This window comes from Homo sapiens, chromosome 17, assembly GCF_000001405.40.
Source record: "Homo sapiens chromosome 17, GRCh38.p14 Primary Assembly".
NCBI lineage: Eukaryota > Metazoa > Chordata > Mammalia > Primates > Hominidae > Homo > Homo sapiens.
The window spans coordinates 21291688-21309746 of record NC_000017.11 but is presented as its reverse complement, the minus strand read 5'-3'; the positions used below and the strand labels follow the sequence as shown (position 1 = coordinate 21309746).

The 18059-nt window shown below is 57.1% G+C and overlaps 1 protein-coding gene across 9 annotated transcripts in view, besides 4 other annotated features; it reads right to left on the bottom strand.

Moving 5' to 3' along the window:
* The window catches only part of MAP2K3 (mitogen-activated protein kinase kinase 3), a 30530-nt gene that overhangs the window by 5494 nt on the left and 6977 nt on the right, over nucleotides 1-18059 (bottom strand). For 5 of the 9 annotated variants that reach the window (XM_017024857.3, XM_047436408.1, NM_145109.3 and 2 more), the window contains exons 2-9: nucleotides 11268-11334; nucleotides 10821-10869; nucleotides 9089-9202; nucleotides 8754-8873; nucleotides 7488-7604; nucleotides 6513-6564; nucleotides 5194-5321; nucleotides 4619-4696 (exon numbers count right to left, since the gene is read on the bottom strand). In XM_017024857.3, the coding sequence (XP_016880346.2) occupies nucleotides 4619-4696; nucleotides 5194-5321; nucleotides 6513-6564; nucleotides 7488-7604; nucleotides 8754-8873; nucleotides 9089-9202; nucleotides 10821-10869; nucleotides 11268-11334 (725 nt within the window). Of the gene's footprint in view, nucleotides 1-4618; nucleotides 4697-5193; nucleotides 5322-6512; nucleotides 6565-7487; nucleotides 7605-8753; nucleotides 8874-9088; nucleotides 9203-10820; nucleotides 10870-11267; nucleotides 11335-13536; nucleotides 13662-13977; nucleotides 14073-18059 lie in introns of those variants that run through there. The other 4 variants (XM_017024859.2, XM_011523959.3, NM_001316332.2 and 1 more) reach the window with 2 other exon arrangements.
* Nucleotides 85-584: an enhancer, noted in NCBI's record as "H3K27ac hESC enhancer chr17:21212475-21212974 (GRCh37/hg19 assembly coordinates)". NCBI's record gives its function as "activates a minimal SCP1, AML or CMV promoter by ChIP-STARR-seq in primed H9 embryonic stem cells {active_cell/tissue: H9 hESC(primed)}" and the evidence as "EXISTENCE:reporter gene assay evidence [ECO:0000049][PMID:30033119]".
* Nucleotides 11313-11812: an enhancer, noted in NCBI's record as "H3K4me1 hESC enhancer chr17:21201247-21201746 (GRCh37/hg19 assembly coordinates)". NCBI's record gives its function as "activates a minimal SCP1, AML or CMV promoter by ChIP-STARR-seq in primed H9 embryonic stem cells {active_cell/tissue: H9 hESC(primed)}" and the evidence as "EXISTENCE:reporter gene assay evidence [ECO:0000049][PMID:30033119]".
* Nucleotides 11813-12314: an enhancer, noted in NCBI's record as "H3K4me1 hESC enhancer chr17:21200745-21201246 (GRCh37/hg19 assembly coordinates)". NCBI's record gives its function as "activates a minimal SCP1, AML or CMV promoter by ChIP-STARR-seq in primed H9 embryonic stem cells {active_cell/tissue: H9 hESC(primed)}" and the evidence as "EXISTENCE:reporter gene assay evidence [ECO:0000049][PMID:30033119]".
* Nucleotides 12475-13014: an enhancer, noted in NCBI's record as "H3K4me1 hESC enhancer chr17:21200045-21200584 (GRCh37/hg19 assembly coordinates)". NCBI's record gives its function as "activates a minimal SCP1, AML or CMV promoter by ChIP-STARR-seq in primed H9 embryonic stem cells {active_cell/tissue: H9 hESC(primed)}" and the evidence as "EXISTENCE:reporter gene assay evidence [ECO:0000049][PMID:30033119]".

Sequence of the window (18059 nt, the reverse complement as noted above, 5' to 3'; positions counted from 1 at the left end):
AGCTACTCGGGAGCCTGAGGCAGGAGAATCACTTGAACCTGGGAGGCGGAGGTTGCAGTAAGCCGAGATCGCACCACCGCGCTCCAGCATGGGTGACAGAGCGAGGCTCTGTTTCAACAACAAAAAAAGAGAAGCATTACATATTGTTTGTATTTCTCTAAATTTTAATAAAACGTATTTTATTATATGTAATAAAAATATTATATATATAATATAATGCACAATGTTGGCACTGAAACGGGGTAAGAGGTGTCTCTAGGTAGAATAACTACAGTCATTTTCCCCTTACTGTGCCTCTATTTTTATGTTAGGTTTCCACTACGTTTGTAACTTGTGAAAGAAAAACCTAACCTGTGCCTAAAGTGACCACCTCCGCCTCCCGCTGTGTGCACCTGCTGATCCTCCATTAAGCCGGGAGCATTCCCTGCCCTTGAACCTGGGCTGGCCTGTGACTCGCTGACCAACACAATGAGGCAGAAGTGATGCTGTGCCAGTTCCAGGCCTAGCACTTCAGAGAACTTCCTTTTAGATGCCAGCCATCATGAAAGAACTCCAACTCTGCTGACACTGCCATGCTCTGAAGCCCAGGGAGCAGGCCAATGTGAGTAAGTTGCATGGAGAGGCCAGGCAGAGGAGGCCCATGTTTGTGAGGCCGTCTTGGGCCTTCCAGACCAGCCCAGCCCAGCCATGACCCCAGCCAATCCCAGGTACAGCAGAAGAGCCATCCAGCTGAGCCCAGCCACAGTGGTGGAAACATGAGAAATAAGAAACCGCTGTTGGTTTGGGTCACTAGGTTCTAGGGTGGTTTGCTATGCAATATTTGATAACTGAAATATACACTTAGCACACACTTGTCCAAGTTCCACCAGCCATATCAGAAGGCCACTAGCCATGGTGGCCCCAACAATCATGATGGATGGACAACTGGAAGGGAGACAGGGAGATGGGGAAGGGACATAGGGTGTGTGTATGTGTGAGGTAGTCATGAGCAGGGTCTCTAATATCCAACCAGTTCTGTGCAGTCTAAATACAGCAAGAACTTGTCCTTTGCATCAAACTTAGGACTTGGAAAACTGTTATTGCAGATACAGCACCTGCCTTCAGCCTGAATATTCCTCTCCACCTCAAAAAAAAAAAATTTTAATTGAAAAATTACATGTCACCAATTAAAGAAAATTGAAGGTATGGCCCAGTCCCACCTCTCTGACAAAATTATTTCGACTTTGAGTCTTTCCCAGTCACTGTCTACAGATACACTATTTATAAAGTTACAGCCACAGGCCAGGCGCAGTGGCTCAAGGCTGGGCGTGGTGGTTCACGCCTGTAATCCCAACACTTTGGGAGGCTGAGGCAGGTGGATCACCTGAGGTCAGGAGTTTGAGACCAGCCTGGCCAACATGGCAAAACCCCGTCTCTACTAAAAATACAAAAATTAGCCGGGCATGGTGGCAAATGCCTGTAATCCTAGCTACTTGAGAGGCTGAGGCAAGAGAATTGCTTGAACCTGGGAGGCGGAGGTTGCAGTGAACTGAGATTGTGCCATTGCATTCTAGCCTGGTCGACAGAGTGAGACTCCCTCAAAAAAAAAAAAGGCCAGGCACAGTGGCTCACCCCTGTAATCCTAGCACTTTGGGAGGCAGAGGCAGGCAGATCACCTGAGGTCAGGAGTTTGAGACCAGCCTGGCCAACATGGTGAAACCCCGTCTTTTTTAAAAATACAAAAATTTGCCAGGTGTGGTGGCTCACGCCTATAATCCCAGCTACTGGGGAGGCTGAGACAGGAGAATTGCCTGAACGCGAGAGGCAGAGGTTGCAGTGAGCTGAGATCATGCCATTGCACTCCAGGCTAGGCAACAGAGTGCAACTCCGTCTCAAAAAAAAAAAAAAAAAAAAAAAAAAAAGATAGCCGGGCATGGTGGCACGAGCCTGTAATCCCAGTTACTCAGGAGGCTGAGACAGGAGAATCACTTGAACCTAGGAGGCGGAGGTTGCAGTAAGCCGAGATCGTCCCATTGCACTCCAGCCTGGGCAACAGAGTGAGACTCCATCTCAAAAAAATAAAAATTAAAAATAAATAAAGTTATAACCACATGATGATGATAACAATGGTAGCAGCAACACCAGTAAAACCCACAACACCTGCGTCAACTCTCTACCCACCAGACACTTCTCTTCGCTCGCTCCCAACCCTCCCTCCCTCTCCTCTGACCCAGCCACCCAGGCACACAGCAGGCACAGCCCCACCTCAGGGCCTTTGCACTTGCACCCCCTGGTCTACCCTGCCCTCAGGTCAGCAGGGTGCCCTCCTTGCAGAGGCCTCCGCATCTGCAACAGTGGCCTTCCACCTGTCCCCAGAGCCACCCCTACCTGCTCCAGTCTTCTCCACCCCCGTGGCATAAAAAGGAATTTATTTGGTCTTTGTTCCTGGCATGGAGCTCCTAAAACCCTTGGAATTTCCTGAGTGACAGGAGTGGCTTTGTTATCCACAAGGAGCCTGAGTTTATGCTAATGAGGTGACTCAGGGTAAGGCCCCTAGACAGCCTCAGATGGGGCTGCTCCCCAGAAAACCCAGCTGATTATAGAGGGTGGGAACTCTCAGCATCACCCGCCAACTGATGCTGAGAGGAGGGGGGCCTGGAGACTGTGCTCTATAAAAACTTTCAGTGGGTGCAGTAGCTTGTGCCTATAATCCCAGCACTTTGGGAGGCCGAGGTAGGCAGATTGCTTGAGCCCAGGATTTCAAGACCAGCCTGGGCAACATAGTGAGACCCCTTTTCTACAAAACATTAAAAAAGTAGCTGGGCATAGGGGCACACACCTGTAGTTCCAGCTACTCAGGAGACTGAGGTAGGGGGATGGCTTGAGCCTGGGAGTTCAAGGCTGCAGTGAGCTGCGATGATACCACTGCACTCCAGCCTGAGCAACAGAGTGAGACCCTCTCTCACAAAAAACCTCTCCATGTGAGGCTGGGCGTGGTGGCTCATGCCTGTAATCACAGCACTTTGCGAGTCTGAGGCGGGCAGATCACTTGAGGTCAGGAGTTCAAGACCAGCCTCGCCAACATGGCAAAACCCCATCTCCACTAAAAATACAAAAATCAGCTGGGCATGGTGGTGCCTGTAATCCCAGCTACTCGGGAGGCTGAGGCACAAGAATCGCTTGAACCCAGGAGGCAGAGGTTACGGTGAGCTAAGATTGTGCCACTGCATTCCAGCCTGGGTGACAAAGTGAGACTCTGTGTCAAAAACAACAAAATTCCATGAGCTTGAGAAGCCTGTAGGTTCGCAAGCACAGGGAGGTACCAGGAGGGTGCCAGGCCCTGAGAGGGCACGGCAGCTCTGCACCCCACACTCACACCCCTCCCCCGTGAGTCTCTTCCATCTGGTTGGCCCTGAGTTATATCCTTTCTGATAAACCAGTAAACACAAATAAAGTGTTTCCCTGAGTTTTGTGAGCCATTCTAGGAAATTATCAAACCTTACGAGAGGGTCATGGGGACCCCCAATTTGTAGCTGGTCAGTCCAGTAGTATGGGAGACCCGCTACTTCCAACTGGTGTGTGATGTTGGGGGCAGTCTGGTGGGACAGAGCCCTTAACCTGTGGGGTCTGTGCGAACTCCAGGTAGCATCAGAACCGAACGGAACTGCAGGGCACTGGGTGGGTGTCTGGAGAATCCGAGAATGGGTTGCGGTGTTGGAAAACACCCCGCCAGCGCTTCTCACCACATCTTACTGATTCTATCTGACGGCCTCATCCCCAACACCAAACAGTCAAAGGGACTAGGGACAAGCAGGAATGTCCTGGGCCAGGCTTCCCTGGGCAGGGAAGGAGCTGACGCCCAGGACACTCCATTGGTCCCAAGCCACTCAACTGGCCAAGGCCACCAGCCTGAGCCCGACCTGCTGATGGCATCGTCCTTCCACGCGTCTCCTGCACAGCTTCCTAGCCCTGGCTGGGGGACACATCCTGGTGGTCTTCCCATCCCTCCAATCCACTGTCCACAGGGGAGCCAGAGCGGGCTCACCCACACCTTGACCTGAGCCCCAACACGGAAGGCATGGGGTTCTGCCAGGCAACTCCAGAAGCAACTGCTCTGGGCCCATCCCTACACCTGGACTTCGGACTTCTGCCACATCTGCCCTCACCCTACCCAAGCCAGGGATGCCTTTGGCTTCCACAGGCCCAGGATTGAGAGCCCGCCCACCCTTTCTACCACCCCACCGCAATGTACCAGGACGCCACCGACAACAAACCTTCTGCTATGAAATATTTTTGAAAAGATCTTTACCATCTTGCTTTTGCATGATTTACATACCAGGAACTTACGTAATTTGGGATTGGCTGTGATTTCTCAACAAGCACCAAGAACTCCAGAGAAAGCCCTGTGGCCACCATATCACAAAGCACCCAGGACTTCACGATGAGTGACCCTGACCCTAGGAGGTTCCCTTAAATAGATGGTAATTTCTGATGGCACATTTTCTTCTCAGATTTTGAAGCCAATACTTCTTTCCAGAACCTAAACTATTTGATGAGTCCCCCAAAAGCTCAGGGCCCCAGGCACGGCTCCACCCACCCCACCTGACCACCAAGGGCAGGCCCTGGCCCCCCACAGTACCATGGTGATGCCCAGGCTCCAGACGTCGGACTTGACATTGTAGCCCTTCTGGTTCAGCTCTGGGTTGATCCTCTCAGGCTGCAGGAGGGAAGAGTGAGGCGTGAACACCCGCCCCAGGTAAGCCCCCATGGCTAGGCCTTGCCTCCCAATCCCCAAACTGAGCGCTCAGCTTAGCCCACCTGCCCATGTGACGGGGGAGGAAACTGAGGCTAGGAGGGCCTGGGTCATGCTTAGAAGGCCCAACCCTTGCATCGGTCTGACCCTACCCGGGAGCAGGCCCCTAAGGCCCTCCTGACAATGAGGGCGGGGCGGGACCTGCACAGCCCACCAGTGTCCTCCGCAGAGGTGGTCCATGAGCTTATCACCCAACTGGGGCACTGTGGGGGTCAGTTAACAACGGGGTACAGAAGGGCTGCCCCTGGGCAGCAAGACACAGGTGGCCCCACTACAGCAGGAAACGCAGTGTGGGGAGGCTCTGCCCCTACGGACAGAGGGTATGGCCGGGGTGGCCAGCCTGGGCAGATTTCTCCCCGCCCCATCCTCTCCTGAGCCTGGGGGGCTTGGGGACCACTCACGGCCATGTAGGGCTTGCAGCCGGCATCCATCGTCTTGGCCACAGAGTCCACCAAGTAGCCACTGATGCCAAAGTCACACATCTTCACATGGCCCTCCTTGTTGATAAGGACATTGGAGGGCTTCACATCTGCCAGGGAGGGACATGCCTCAGCCACGTCTGTGGAGCACGACTGGAGGCAGGTGCCATGCTCTGCATAGCTGTGCCCCCCTCCCTCGCCCAAGACCCCTCCTGTGCCCCCTCCCATGCCCCAGTGGGCAGGTTGCACCAGGGTCCCAAGGGTCAGACCAGGGAACTGAGGCTGCAAGAGGTGCCGGGCCAGCTGAGAGTCATACTTGGTCCTCAGGGAACAGCCAGGACGTGCCCAGCCCGGCCCGGCCACTGCAAGGAAGGCAGGACTCCAGGTGCTTTGCTGGGAGCACCGTGCCTGCATCCGCCCTCCAGACATGAGGTCCAGTGAGAGCCTGGCTTGTGTGGGTGCTCCCAGAGGGCAGCAGGATCAATTAAAGCCTGGGAGGCAGGATCTGCGTGTTTGGACATGGAGTCCCCACAGACCAGCATGGGAGAGCAGCCCAGCAGGGATTCTCCATACAAATGCGCATAGGACACTCACATCCCCGTGCCCTCCATGGGGATGTGTGTAAAGATGGAAATGCACATAAAAAGGACCAGAAGGTTCCGTGCCAACCGCCAACCACAGTGACCTGGGGGGCTGGGATGGGCACCCAGTGGACAATGGGAACTAAGCCTAATTCATTTTTTGAAAAGCAGTAAATCTGGAAAAATAGACTTGTGCTCAGCAGCAAAAAGGAACAAACTGAGACCACACCAGACCCAGGTGGGTCCAGAAACATCAAGCGAGGCTGATGTTCCAGAAAGGGCGAAACCAACCCACTGTGGGAAAACCAGACTTGTGGGTGCCTTAGGCACATGGGGGATGGCAGGGAAGGAGCCCAAGAGAACATTCTGGGAGGGGGTGAGAGAATTGTCCTGCATCTTGGAGGGAGGTGGTTGCATGGGTGTGAACATGATTATATGCACTCTATGCTGGAGTTTCACGATTTGTAAACTATACATCAGAACAGAACCCAGTCCACCTTTCTCAGGACAGAAGTCAAGCCAGTCCTTGCTTCGAGCACCAGCAAACCTGAGGGGAGGCAGCTGCAGGGCTGCAGGTGGAAAGCGGCTGGAACCCCATCGGGCACGTCACAACCTATCACCTCTCGGAGCCACAGTTGCTCATAGGGAGACGTCCACCCGCCTTGGCCTGGGATCCCTCCCACTGGCTACACCGTGCCTGGGTGGCTGCCGGGCACTGACCTCTGTGGATCACCGACAGCTTGCTGTGCAGATGCTCCAGGGCCCGCACGATCTGGCGGTGGGGTGGGGAGGAGGGAAGAGACAGGACTCTGTTATTCCTGGTCACGTCAAAAACGACAGAGCAGTAAGACCCCATCCATGTCCACCTGTCTCCCGCTCCCGCTGCACAGGCTACGCACCCTCTCATCCCAGCCTCCTGCCCTGTCCTGGCATTTGCCCCAGCATCCTAACAATCCTGGTGCAGACACACTCGGCCTCCTGCCTCCTCTCATCCTCCCGGGCTCACCTCCCAGGGAGGCATCATCACTGCCTGCCACACTCTTCTTGGGTAAAACCCAGCTCTTGGCAGCCTCCCTGTCCCATCTCCCCTCCCGTGGCAGAGCCAGTATTCTAGCAGCTTGGAGCCATTTCCCTTGGGAAGGCTGGGTGGGGAGCCTGAGGCAGGGGTATATTGTAAATGTTTCCAGATGCAGTGAGGATTGAACCAGTCTCACTGGTTCTATTTTCCTTTTTCCTTTGGCTACTGGAATGCTCAAGCCCAGTGTTGCTGCCCTCCCTCAAGGACTTTTTAGACTCAAAAAGCACACATTTTGGATGCTAACCTTTCCCCCAACTTAGCTTGTACCTCTGTGAGCTGCCCCGGGGCATTTTTAGTATGACGCTGTTGTAAATACTAAATTCCTTTTTTAAAAAATGATCTGGAACTCAAGAGTTGGAATCAATGGCTCAGACACCTGGATCTGCCAAATCTGTGGGGCTCCAGGAGCCCCAGGAGCGGAGGTCTCCTAAGCACAAAGGCTCTGGTCTGGGGTGGAGGAGAAGGGCCTATGCAGGGCAGCTGCCCAGGTTCAGGGGGCACATTGATGCCCAGCTCTGCCCAAGACACCATCAATAGGCAGGCTCCATGCCTGCTGGCAGGGCTGGGCCTCTGCCTATGCACCTAGGACCCCCCGCCAGCCCACCCAGGCCACTCACAGACACAGCAATCTCCCCAAGGATGTCCTCTGGAATTGTCATGTTTTTATCCAGCACCTTCCGGTAGAACTTGTCCAAGGATGTGTCCATGAGCTCCATGCAGATCCACACGTCTCCCTGTGGGTGACACCCAGAGCTCAGCCAGGCTGCCGGGCTGCCCGTGTCTGCACCACCTGCACTGCCTGCCCCAGCACCAGCCCCAGCCCCAGCCCCCTCTCCGACGTGTGCCCACCCACTCAGCCACAGTTCACCGGGCTCCCACCCACCACCCACTTGCCCGCTTCCCCCACCCTCCAACTCTGCCTGCACTGCCAGGTTCGGGCGCCAGCCTCCTCTATCTGATCCCTAATTCCAGGTGTCTCCAGGGAGGAAGAGGATTAGCACACAGCCTCGCTGGGTCCCTCCACCAGAGCTTCAGGATGCACCTGCACCAGCTCCATGGCAACAGCCGGCCCTGCTGACCGACAGACACCCTCATGCCAGCTGACCCTGGCAGATGGCTCCCTGCCTGCAAGGACCTGCTCCCTCTTCCCCAGTGAACTCCTGAGGACCCTCCTGACAGGAAGGTTGGGAGATGCGCAGGGGGCACCCGCAGGCTGCAGGGGCCCCATCGGCTAGGGGCTGGCACAGAGGATGCTGAGCTCTTCATGAGTGACGAGTGAGGACAGGTGAAGCAGCCCTGACCTTGCCCGATGGCTGGACTCAGATGCCCTGACCCTGCCACAGCTCTTTGAGGGGCAAGTGACCAGTATGAGCCCAGCATCGCCTAGGCTCCCGGCCTCCCTGCTCACCCACACCCACCCGGCTTGGCGGAAGGCAGCTCCACTCTTCCAGCCTCAGTCACTCTCTCAGCACACACCCCATCCTGTCCACAAACCTAGAACCCAGAATCCAGATCTCATATCTCCATGGCCGTTGCCTGCTTGGGCACCCCACGCCCCATATGCCATTCCCACGCCCTGTATGCCATGGGGATGCGAATGGTCACACAGACAGAACTGAGTGCAGCTGAATGCCAGGCCCCAGGCCATGTCGTTTACCTTCCGTGTCAACTTTAGGAGGCACCCACAACCACCGGCCTCATTTGACTGACAAGGAAACTGAGGCACTGAGCAGGACAGTAACAGCCAAGAGACGGGGGAGCCTCCTGCCAGTATGCCAGGTGTCCCCAGCACCTGGCGTACTGGAGGGACTGAGTGACAGTGGGTTGCAGGCGACTGATGGGTGGGAGGTGGAGATCCCCAGCTGCATCATGCAAGGACGCACCTCTCTGAATAGTGCCCCGTAGAAGGTGACAGTGTAGAAACAGTCGACCGTGCGCATGTTGATGTCCAGGTCCATGAGCAGCCGCTTCTGCTCCTGTGAGTTCACGGTGGCCCGGATCCGCTGCAGGGAAGGACTGCCATTCAGAGGTTGCCGTGGCAGAGGCCAACACCCACACTCATGACAGGAGGGCCAGGAGCTCAGGGGGCCACTGCCCAGTGTGCCCCAAAAAGCCTAGCCTCGGTACTGATCACTGAGAGGGATAGGCAGGGCCCCATGGCAGAGCTCAGCCCGCCTCCTCCAGGGAGCCCTCCCAGCTGCCTCCAGGCCCTGCTCACCTTCACGGCCATGATGGTGCCGCTCTGGGCGTGCCGCACCTTCTCTACCACCCCATAGGCTCCACGGCCCAGTTCTGAGATGGTCACCAAGTCATCAGCCTCCACCTCAAAGTTCTTGAAGGATGGAAAAGAGAGTCAGTGGCCAGCAAGCTGGAAGCCAGTCCTCACCCCATGCCCAGTGGAGATACCTGGGCAGCATGAAGAGGACCAGCTGATTAGATCTGGGCTCAAACCTCATATCCACCGCTCCCTGCTGTGTGACCCTCAGCAAGTCACTTAACCTCTCTGAGCCTCACGATGCCCTCTATAAAACAGGCACAGTGCCAACACCCCAAGGCTGCTATGGAGTGTGACTGAGACAAAATGCCCCGCCAGCAGGTACAGCTCTGAGAAAGAGGTGCCCTGTCCCTCTTTTCCCGACCCCACTCAGCTGGCTAGAATGAGTCACTCATTCAGAAACTGTTTACCAAGCATCCACAATGTGTTTTAGGCACTGGGGACACAGTGACAACAAAACAAAAGTATTGCCTTCACAGATGTTTCCCTCTCTTGGGAGGGACACAAAAAGGAGTAAGCAAGTAGATGAACAGGACAGCAGATGGTGAGTGTCAGGGAGTGCGACAGCCTGGAGGGAGTATCGTCAAGGACAGGCCTAGGGAATGGGGTTTATTTTTTTTAGACAGAGTGTCACTCTCGTCACCCAGGCTGGAATGCAATGGGGTAATCTTGGCTCACTGCAACCTCCACCTCCTGGGTTCAAGCGATTCTCCTGTCTCAGCCTCCTGAATAGCTGGGATTATAGGCGCCTGCCACCACACCGGGCTAATTTTTGTATTTTAGTAGAGACAGGGTTTCACCACGTTAGCTAGGCTGGTCTTGAACTCCTGACCTCAGGTGATCTACCCGCCTCAGCCTCCCAAAGTGCTGGGCTTACAGGCGTGAGCCACCGTGCCCAGCTCTTTTTTTTTTTTTTTTTTGAAACGGGGTCTCACTCCGTCACCCAAGCTGGAGGGCAGTGGTACGATCATGGCTCACTGCAACATCCACCTCCTGGGTTCAAGCAATCCTCCTACCTCATACTCTCAAGTAGCTGGGGCCACAGGCACGCACCACCACGCTGACTAATTTTCTGTATTTTTGTACAGACAGGGTTTCGCCATGTTGCCCAGGCCTGGTCCCGAGCTCCGAGGCTCAAGTGATCCTCCTGCCACGGCCTCCCAAAGTGTGGGGATTACAGGTGTGAGCCACTGCACCTGGCCTGGGAGTAGGGTTTCTGTTGGGAGGAACGGGGCATAGCACGGTCCCTGAGCCAGGATTCTGAATGGCTAGTGCCCTTCCGAGGCTTCTGGAAGCATAAAATGCAGGTTGCCCAGGTGCTGGCCTGAGGGAGTGATCCAGCGGGTCCAGGGCGGCCTAGGAGCCTGCATGTTCAATACTCTCCCCTAGGGCTAGGATGAGGTGCAGGGCCTTGCTCTCAGCTCAGAAACCTTCCTACCAGCTCTGGGCTCGCCAAGCTCCAGTCAGGCAGCCGATGGTCCTCATTCCCACCAGGAGGGTCAAAGAGTGGGTGGCCCAGGGCCACACAGCCAGCAGCGCAGGACGAGGCTCTTCTCCAGAGCCTGACCCTCTCTGACCCCTCAGTCACCTCCCCCCAAAGTGGCCCTGCAGGGTCAGCTCTACCCGCTCGTCAGGTGAAGTGAGAGGCCCTGCAGGGGTGGCGGCTGGCACCTACTCTGTCTCCAATGGTGATGAAGGTCCGGGAGTCCAGGTTCCGGGGGGGTCTGTGGAGAAAGAAGACTCCGTGAGCTTCAGAGAGAACCACACCCTTCCCCAAGTGCAGCAGTAGATGGGCCAGTGTGGGGCCTGGCGTGGGGACGAGGTGCCTCCTGCCCCGGAGGCGCCTTCTCCGGCCACCTCCTCTCACTGGCTGCTGAGCATCTACACTGAGCTGGGCACGGCCTCATCGAGCCTCCAAGACAGGGTGAGAAGTGAGCAGAGCAGAGCAAATGGTGCTGCATGAACCCCCAGCAGCCGTCACCTGGCTGTATGCACAGCAGGGGCTGCCCAGGACAGGACGAGGTAAAGCAGGGCTGGCCCCACCTGCCTCTCACTCCTTCCATTGAGCCCTGTTCGGGAAGCCTCTCCAGGGTGAGCCAGGGAGAAACTGAGGCAGACTCACGTGGGGTTGGGTGCGGGTGGCTTGGACATGCAGGATATCCGTAGATCCTTCTTCCTCTTGGATTTTCCTAGAATGGAGAGAAGGTGAGGCGTCTGGCCTATCCCTTGACATCAATGTCCCCTGCACTCCCATGAGCCATCAGGCCCTGGCCCACAAGGGTGCCAGCCTCTGCCATCACCCATGCCGGGAGCCCCCTCTCTCCAAGCCAGGCCGTTAGGCCTTCAAAGGGGGAAGGAGGCCCACCAGCCCTGCAGGGGAGCAGAGCAGGACAGACCCAGGCCTGGAGGCTGGACTCCAGGGCCTTATCTCAGCCCTGCCCACTGGGCACATCTTGAGTACCTCCCTGGGCCTCAGTTTCCCCATCTGTGAGGTGTCCTCACTGCCCTGCCTGACTAGTCAATGGGATGTGGGGTGAGAAGGGGCCCAGCGGGGGTCCAGCCAGCACCTGCAGCAGCCACTGTACAGGGGCTTCATTAGCTGCAGGTAGCAGGATGGGGCTCATACTGCATCCAAGATGAGGAAGGCCAGGCCCCCAGAAAGGGCAACAGGCGGTGGAGCAGGCGGGGACTCCAGCCCGGGCTGCCCTCCAGGCTAGCTCTGCTGGGCCCTGCTCACCCTGGAGGCCGACACCCGATGCCCGTTTCTCTCCCTCCCCTGAAAAGCGCTGGCTCTCTCCCCTCCCCTGCACCAGGCAGGCCAGAGTCCCGGGGCAGTACCTTCCTCACTCCACCCCTAGGGACAGGCGAGAGGCCCCAGTGTCCACACCTCTCAGGCTGGCTACAAGAGCCTGGCCAGGTGCACAGCACTCAGCTGGTACTAACGGAGGGTCAGCATTTCTGGGGCTCCAGGCACAGTGGGGCTGGCATGCAGAGAGAGCTCCCTGTAGTCAGGGCCGCCCTTTGAATAAGGCATAGCCGCCATTCCACAGGCAGGAGAAGCAAGGATCAGAGATGCCAGGGTCACCTGGTGCTCTGGCACCATCAGGCAGCAGGGCTGGGAGTGACACGGCTCCCGGAGACCACCCAGTACAGACATGCTGGCCACATGCCTGCCCTTGTGGGAGCTTCTGCCTCATCATTTCCCAAGCATGATCCTGCCACATCTTGGCCCTCACCCACCACCCGCCACTCCCTGCTGCTGGCTCACCCTGGCTGCTGGTACTGGGGCTTAGAAACTGCCCATGGCCCTGCTGCCGCCTGCCAAGAAGACCCCAGTCTCTGAAGCCGCCTCCAAGCCAGGTTCAGATCCAGCCTTGGCCACGGTGCAACACAGACTTGTGGCCCCATCTCAGAGCCACGCACCGGGGCCCAGCAGCCAACCCAGCCCAGATGGAGGGCGAAGGGTGGTTACCGCTACTGGGAAGACAAGGCCAGAACAACAGGAAACAGAATAGCCTTGGCAGGGACAGGGGTCCCAGGGTCCATCCTGGGGCAGGTGGGCAGAGTGCAGGAGCCAGGCAAGCAGATACCTGCAGCCTTTCCACCAAAGCCACCCCGGGGACCCCGCTGCCAGGCCCCAGAGGCTTCAGGAAACAACAGCGTCCACAGACAGAAGCAGCAGCAGCAGCAGCAGCAGCAGCTGCCGCCACATGCACTGGGTGCCTGCCTGCTAACTGCTCACCCCATGAATCAATCGCCTAGTCACTACTCCTGTGCGCAGCGTTTTTATCTCATTTTAAGATGCAGCAACACCCTGGCTGTCAGGGACCGCATGGGTCTCACTGCGAGTCTGTCACAGCCACAGCACCGGCCACAGGCAGGGCCCTTCTCATCTGTGACTCCAGATACTCCCACAGCCCTACAGGGAGGGGCTCCCAACCTCACTTTACTTGGGGAACAGGCTCAGAGAGGTGAAGCCACTTGCCCCAGGCTGCACAGCAAGTCAGGGGTCTGGCCAGGAGTCACTCCTGAGTTTATTGACTCGCAGACCCCAACAGGCCAGGCCATGGCTCACAGCACCCCTGCCACAGGGAGCCCTCCCTGAGGCGGAAGGAGGGGCCCAAGTCTCGTGCTCAACAAGAAACGGCAACAGAGTCTGGAGATGCAGAGGCTCAGCACATTCTAACAGGAAAAACCATGGCACACAGGGCCAGCAGCTTCTGAGGCCACTTCTATCCTGCCTCTGGGCCAAAGTCTCTGAACTTCTGAGGCTCTGGGCTTGGAGTGGCGCAGCCGTGGTAAACTCCAGCTCTGCGACCCTGGCATGGTGCCCTCCTCTGCACCTTGGGTTCCTCATGTACAAAACAGCTCGAGGCAGAAATGCCACCCACCTGCCCCGCACAGTGCTGCAGGACGAAGCAAGATCACGTCTGCAAGGTGCTCAGCACAGGGTTCACTGCGCAGATGGGGACCTGTTGTGGCCCATAAATGGTCACCATGGATATGACCAGCCTCTCTGCAGAGGTGAAAAAAAAAACTGCCCTAAGTAATGAGAATTATAGGTAGCTTTTATTCCTGATGTCAGGCTTTTCGTAACCAGAATATAAAATATTTTCTGTTAAAAATTAAAGCTCTGCACAGAGACCCTGGGCCTTGACCTTGCCCCCAGCCCCTTGAGTCCCACCCTTTCCCTGTGGGGTCCACGCCACACCCTCCCTGCACTCTCTCTGCTCTTGGTCCCTCTGGCCCCAGCCTGCCACCCACCTCATGCCTTGGGATTTGGGAATGTTGTATCATGTGGCCCCCCCTTCACCAAGCCTCAGTTTCCCCACCTGTCAAGGGCACTTGCACATATGGGCTGGATGGGTGGGGACCACGCTCCTCGCAGGCCTGGGTGGTATATGGACTGGCCTCTGCATCCACCGGCCTGTTGGGGACACCAAGCCTGCATCAGGAGGGCCACAGGCTCCATGGGGAAGCCACCCAGCTGTCAGAGGGAGTGGGTGAGGCCGTCATGGAGACAGCCTAGAAACAGGCCTCAGGCTGCTGCAGACGTCAGAGCTGGGCCCAGATGGCCAGGCAGCCCAGGGCTGCCCAGGTGCAGCCGTTGTGGCAACCATCACCACAACAAACAGAGGCTCTCGGCGGCCACTGGCAACCCACGATAAGCCCGCCTGTCCCGGCTCTCAGCACGGGGTGTCCTGGGGTGTCCTCCACATACTCCAGCCTCATAGCAGCCCCCAGGCAGGGGCAAGGAAACTGAAACTGACCAGAATTCAGCCACTGACCTGAGGCTACACCACAGGTAAAGAGAGGCACCCCCAGACTAGAACACAACTCTCACTGGCCGTGGCAGCTCTGCCCTATCTCCTCCCACTCACCCCCAACTAGAGCCCCCGACCCTTGAGTGAGCCCTTCTCTGAATGAGACACCTGCTTTCCCACCGCAGGGCCTTCACACATGCCCTTCCCTCTGCCTGAAATGCTCTTCCCTGTGACTGTCCTAGCTACTACGTCGTCTTGCCTTTCACCAGTTCAGAGAGGCTGCCTGACTGCGCAGGCCCCAGTGACCGGCTCTCCCTGTGGCCTGATGGCTTCTCTGCTGTGGAGTCCCACAGGTGGCCGTTCTGCAGTTACCATCTCAGAGAGCCAGTCAGCAGGTCACCTGTGAGCACTCACTCTGGAGCCAAGGCCTGGGCTCAACTGCAACTCTGCCCCTTCCTAGCTGTGTGCCCTCAGGCAAGTGGCTTCACCTCTCTGGACATATGTAAAGTGGAGATTACAGACAAACCTCCCCGGGTTATCAGCGTCATGCCATAGCAGTGCCTGGCGCGTGGAGATTAGATGGGGCCATCTGGAAGTGCACAGCTCCCAAGAGAACACCACCCTCAGCCCCAGACCACCCCTGTCCACCCTCTCAGTGACTCCACAAGGGAGTAGGGGAGGTTCACTTATCTGTTGTATCAAGCATGCGGGAGAAGAGGTGACTTAGAGAGGCCACACGGTGGGCGTCTGGTGAGGAGTGGCCATAAAGGCAGGTCTGTCTGGCTCCAACGTCCAAACAGCAACAGCCTGAGGGCAGGGCCCCCACTTCGGCTGCTCCCTCTACCCTGGGCCTGGGGAGACCAAGCTGTGTGACCCTCTAAGGGTCACCCACAGGGGCAAGATGACAACCCCTCCTTGCAGCCCCTGCTCCGCCTCCACTCATAAAGTCAGCCCCACACCATGCCACATGCAGGAGCATCACCAGGTTTCTGACAACAGAAGTAATCCCTGCTCCTAGTTCACTGCCCTCACCTGACTTCCGGATGTTCCAGGAGGTCCCTGTTCTACTGCAGAAGTTCTGGGCCTGCCAGGGAAGGAGCCACAAGGGCTGGGAGATGTGAGCAGCAAGAGGCGCCGCCCTGCCCCAGGCCACCTCTATTCCCCAGGGTCCCTCAGAGGGACAGCAACAAGGCCAATGCGCTCCATGGCACGGGGGAAACTGAGGCCCCGAGAAGTGGGCACAGGCTTTTGCGTGGGCAGATGTACCTCGACGGTGTGGATGGATGTGTTTGGCTGCGACCTGCCAGACACTGGCCCCTCTCCCCAGGACAGGTGCCATCAGAGGTCCTGAGGTACTGCAGACGCCACTGCCAAGCACCTGTGGGCAGCAGGGGGTGGCCATGCACCTTCAGGCAGGGCCCCTTGCCCTGAGGTTCTGGGGCCCCTGTCCTGGGCTCTGGAGAGGATGCAGGACAAGGGGAAGGTTCTCCCATCTAACCAAGTGCCTGCTCCATGCCAGGCCCAGGCTGTGCCATCTGGCCTCATACACGGCCACTGCAGGCCCTACCTTCTCTATCCTCACCTTGTAGGTGTGCAGCAGGCTAGGGTGAGGAGGAGTGACCAAGGCTCTGCCCTCCACAGCCCTGCCCTGCCTCTGCCCGGCTGTGCAAGGCCACCTGGCCAGGGCCTGGCCTCCAGGGCCTCACACCCTCCCCACCTCTCTACCCTACAGGGACTTCCTCACCTGCAGAGAACGGGGGATCCCCAGACTATCCACCTGGCAGCGCCCCCTCCCCGGTGATGCTCCGGACCAGCATGGCTCGGGAGCACCCCTAACATCCGGTGGGGAGGCCAGATGCTCAGCTGCACAGGGGCAACCATGGCTGCCAGAGGGTCCTCCCGCCCAATGCCAACAGCCCAGCAGAGACAACCATGGCCCGCCTGCAACATGGAACCACTTGTGCTTTGGAGGGAAGGACGTAGGGAAGGGCCAGAGGCACGGGCCTCGCTGGAGAGGGAAGGAGGCAACACGGGAGGACCCCGGGCAGAGTGGCTGGGGCACAAGGCACGTGAAAGACAGGGGGCCCACAGCAGGTGGCTGCGGGCATCAGGGTGCAGCCTGGCCTCCCATGGCCAGACCTCACCGGTCTGGGTCCTCCATGCCCCATGGCCATCAAAATGCCCATTCTTCTGCATCCAGAAATTCCACGTTGAGCAGCTTACCCCCACACTACAACACCCACTAACATTTAGTGAATACCTACTATGTGCTGGGGTGTCCTGGGGTGTCCTCTGCGTGCCTGGCCTATGCAAATTTCTTTCATTACATCTCATTTGATCCTCTCAGCAACCCCTTGAGGCAGGTACTAATGTGATCTCCATGCTGCAGATGGGGAAACTGAGGCCCAGGGTTTATAGAATCAAAAGGCTGGCACATGGAATTGGTGAGGATCCTGCAGGTCCTCAGCAGGATGCGAGGAGTGGCCTCCCAGGGACAGGAAGAGCCAAGAGCAGCAGGAGTACAGCAGTGTGAGAAAGAAAATGCCGGTCAGACCATGTGAGGTGGCTCACGCCTGTAATCCCAGCACTTTGGGAGGCCAAGGCAGAAGGATTACTTGAGGTCAGGAGTTTGAGACCAGCCTGGCCAACATGGTGAAACCCTGTCTCTACTAAAAATACAAAAATTAGCACATGCCTGTAATCCCAGCACTTTGGGAGGCCAAGGTGGGTGGATTCCTTGAGCTCAGGAGTTCAATACTAGCCTGGGCAACATGACAAAATCCTGTCTCTACAAAAAATAAAACAAAACAAAAATGTAGTGGGCGTGGTGGTGCGTGCCTGTAGTCCCAGTTACCTGGGAGGCTGAGGTGGGAGGATCGTCTGAGCTGTGGTGAGCCATGACTGTGCCACTGGGCAACAGAGCAAGACACTGTCTCAAAAAAAAAAAATGAGAAGAAGAAGGAAAGAAAATGCTGGAGTGTGCAGAGTATTCCGAGGAGAAACAAGAGACTGCCTTTTTGTCCCTTTGAGATTCCTGCACTGTGTGATAAAGGCTACTCAAGTGCAGGCAATTTAAAGAAAAGAAGAAACAAAGAGGCCTGCTTGAAGCCAGCCCCAGCACTCTCCTCTGTCTGAAGGGGCAGCCAGGCTCACTGAGCACAGTACAGCCCCCGCAGCAGGCTGCTCAGGCTGGAGGGTGCCCCAGAGACTGTCCAGTGCAGATGCTGACACCAGGGGCCCCAGGACACGCCTGAGGTGACGCACCAGGGCAGCAGCAGAGTCAGGCCCCCAGCCTGGGTCCCAGCTCCTGCCTTCCCCGCACCTCAGTGGAGAAACCACCACAGCGTCGGCCCGTGCCAGCCTGGGGGCGAGCCACACTCCCTCTCTGTGCAAGCCTCGGTTTCCTCCTTTGACGTCCTATGAACGGGTGAAGGGGCCATGACCTCTGGGAAAGGATGAGCAAGGGTCCGGAGTTGTAAAGACAAAGCCATGCTCCCAGGACAGTCCTTCGTGACCTTGAGCAGGTCACTATCCCACCAGGCCTCAGTTTACTCACTCCTAAGATGGGGTTGATGACAACACACCCAGGTTGCTGGGTAGCCGTGAAGACCAAACAAGTCCATGCACACAAAATCCCCAGCACAAAAGGG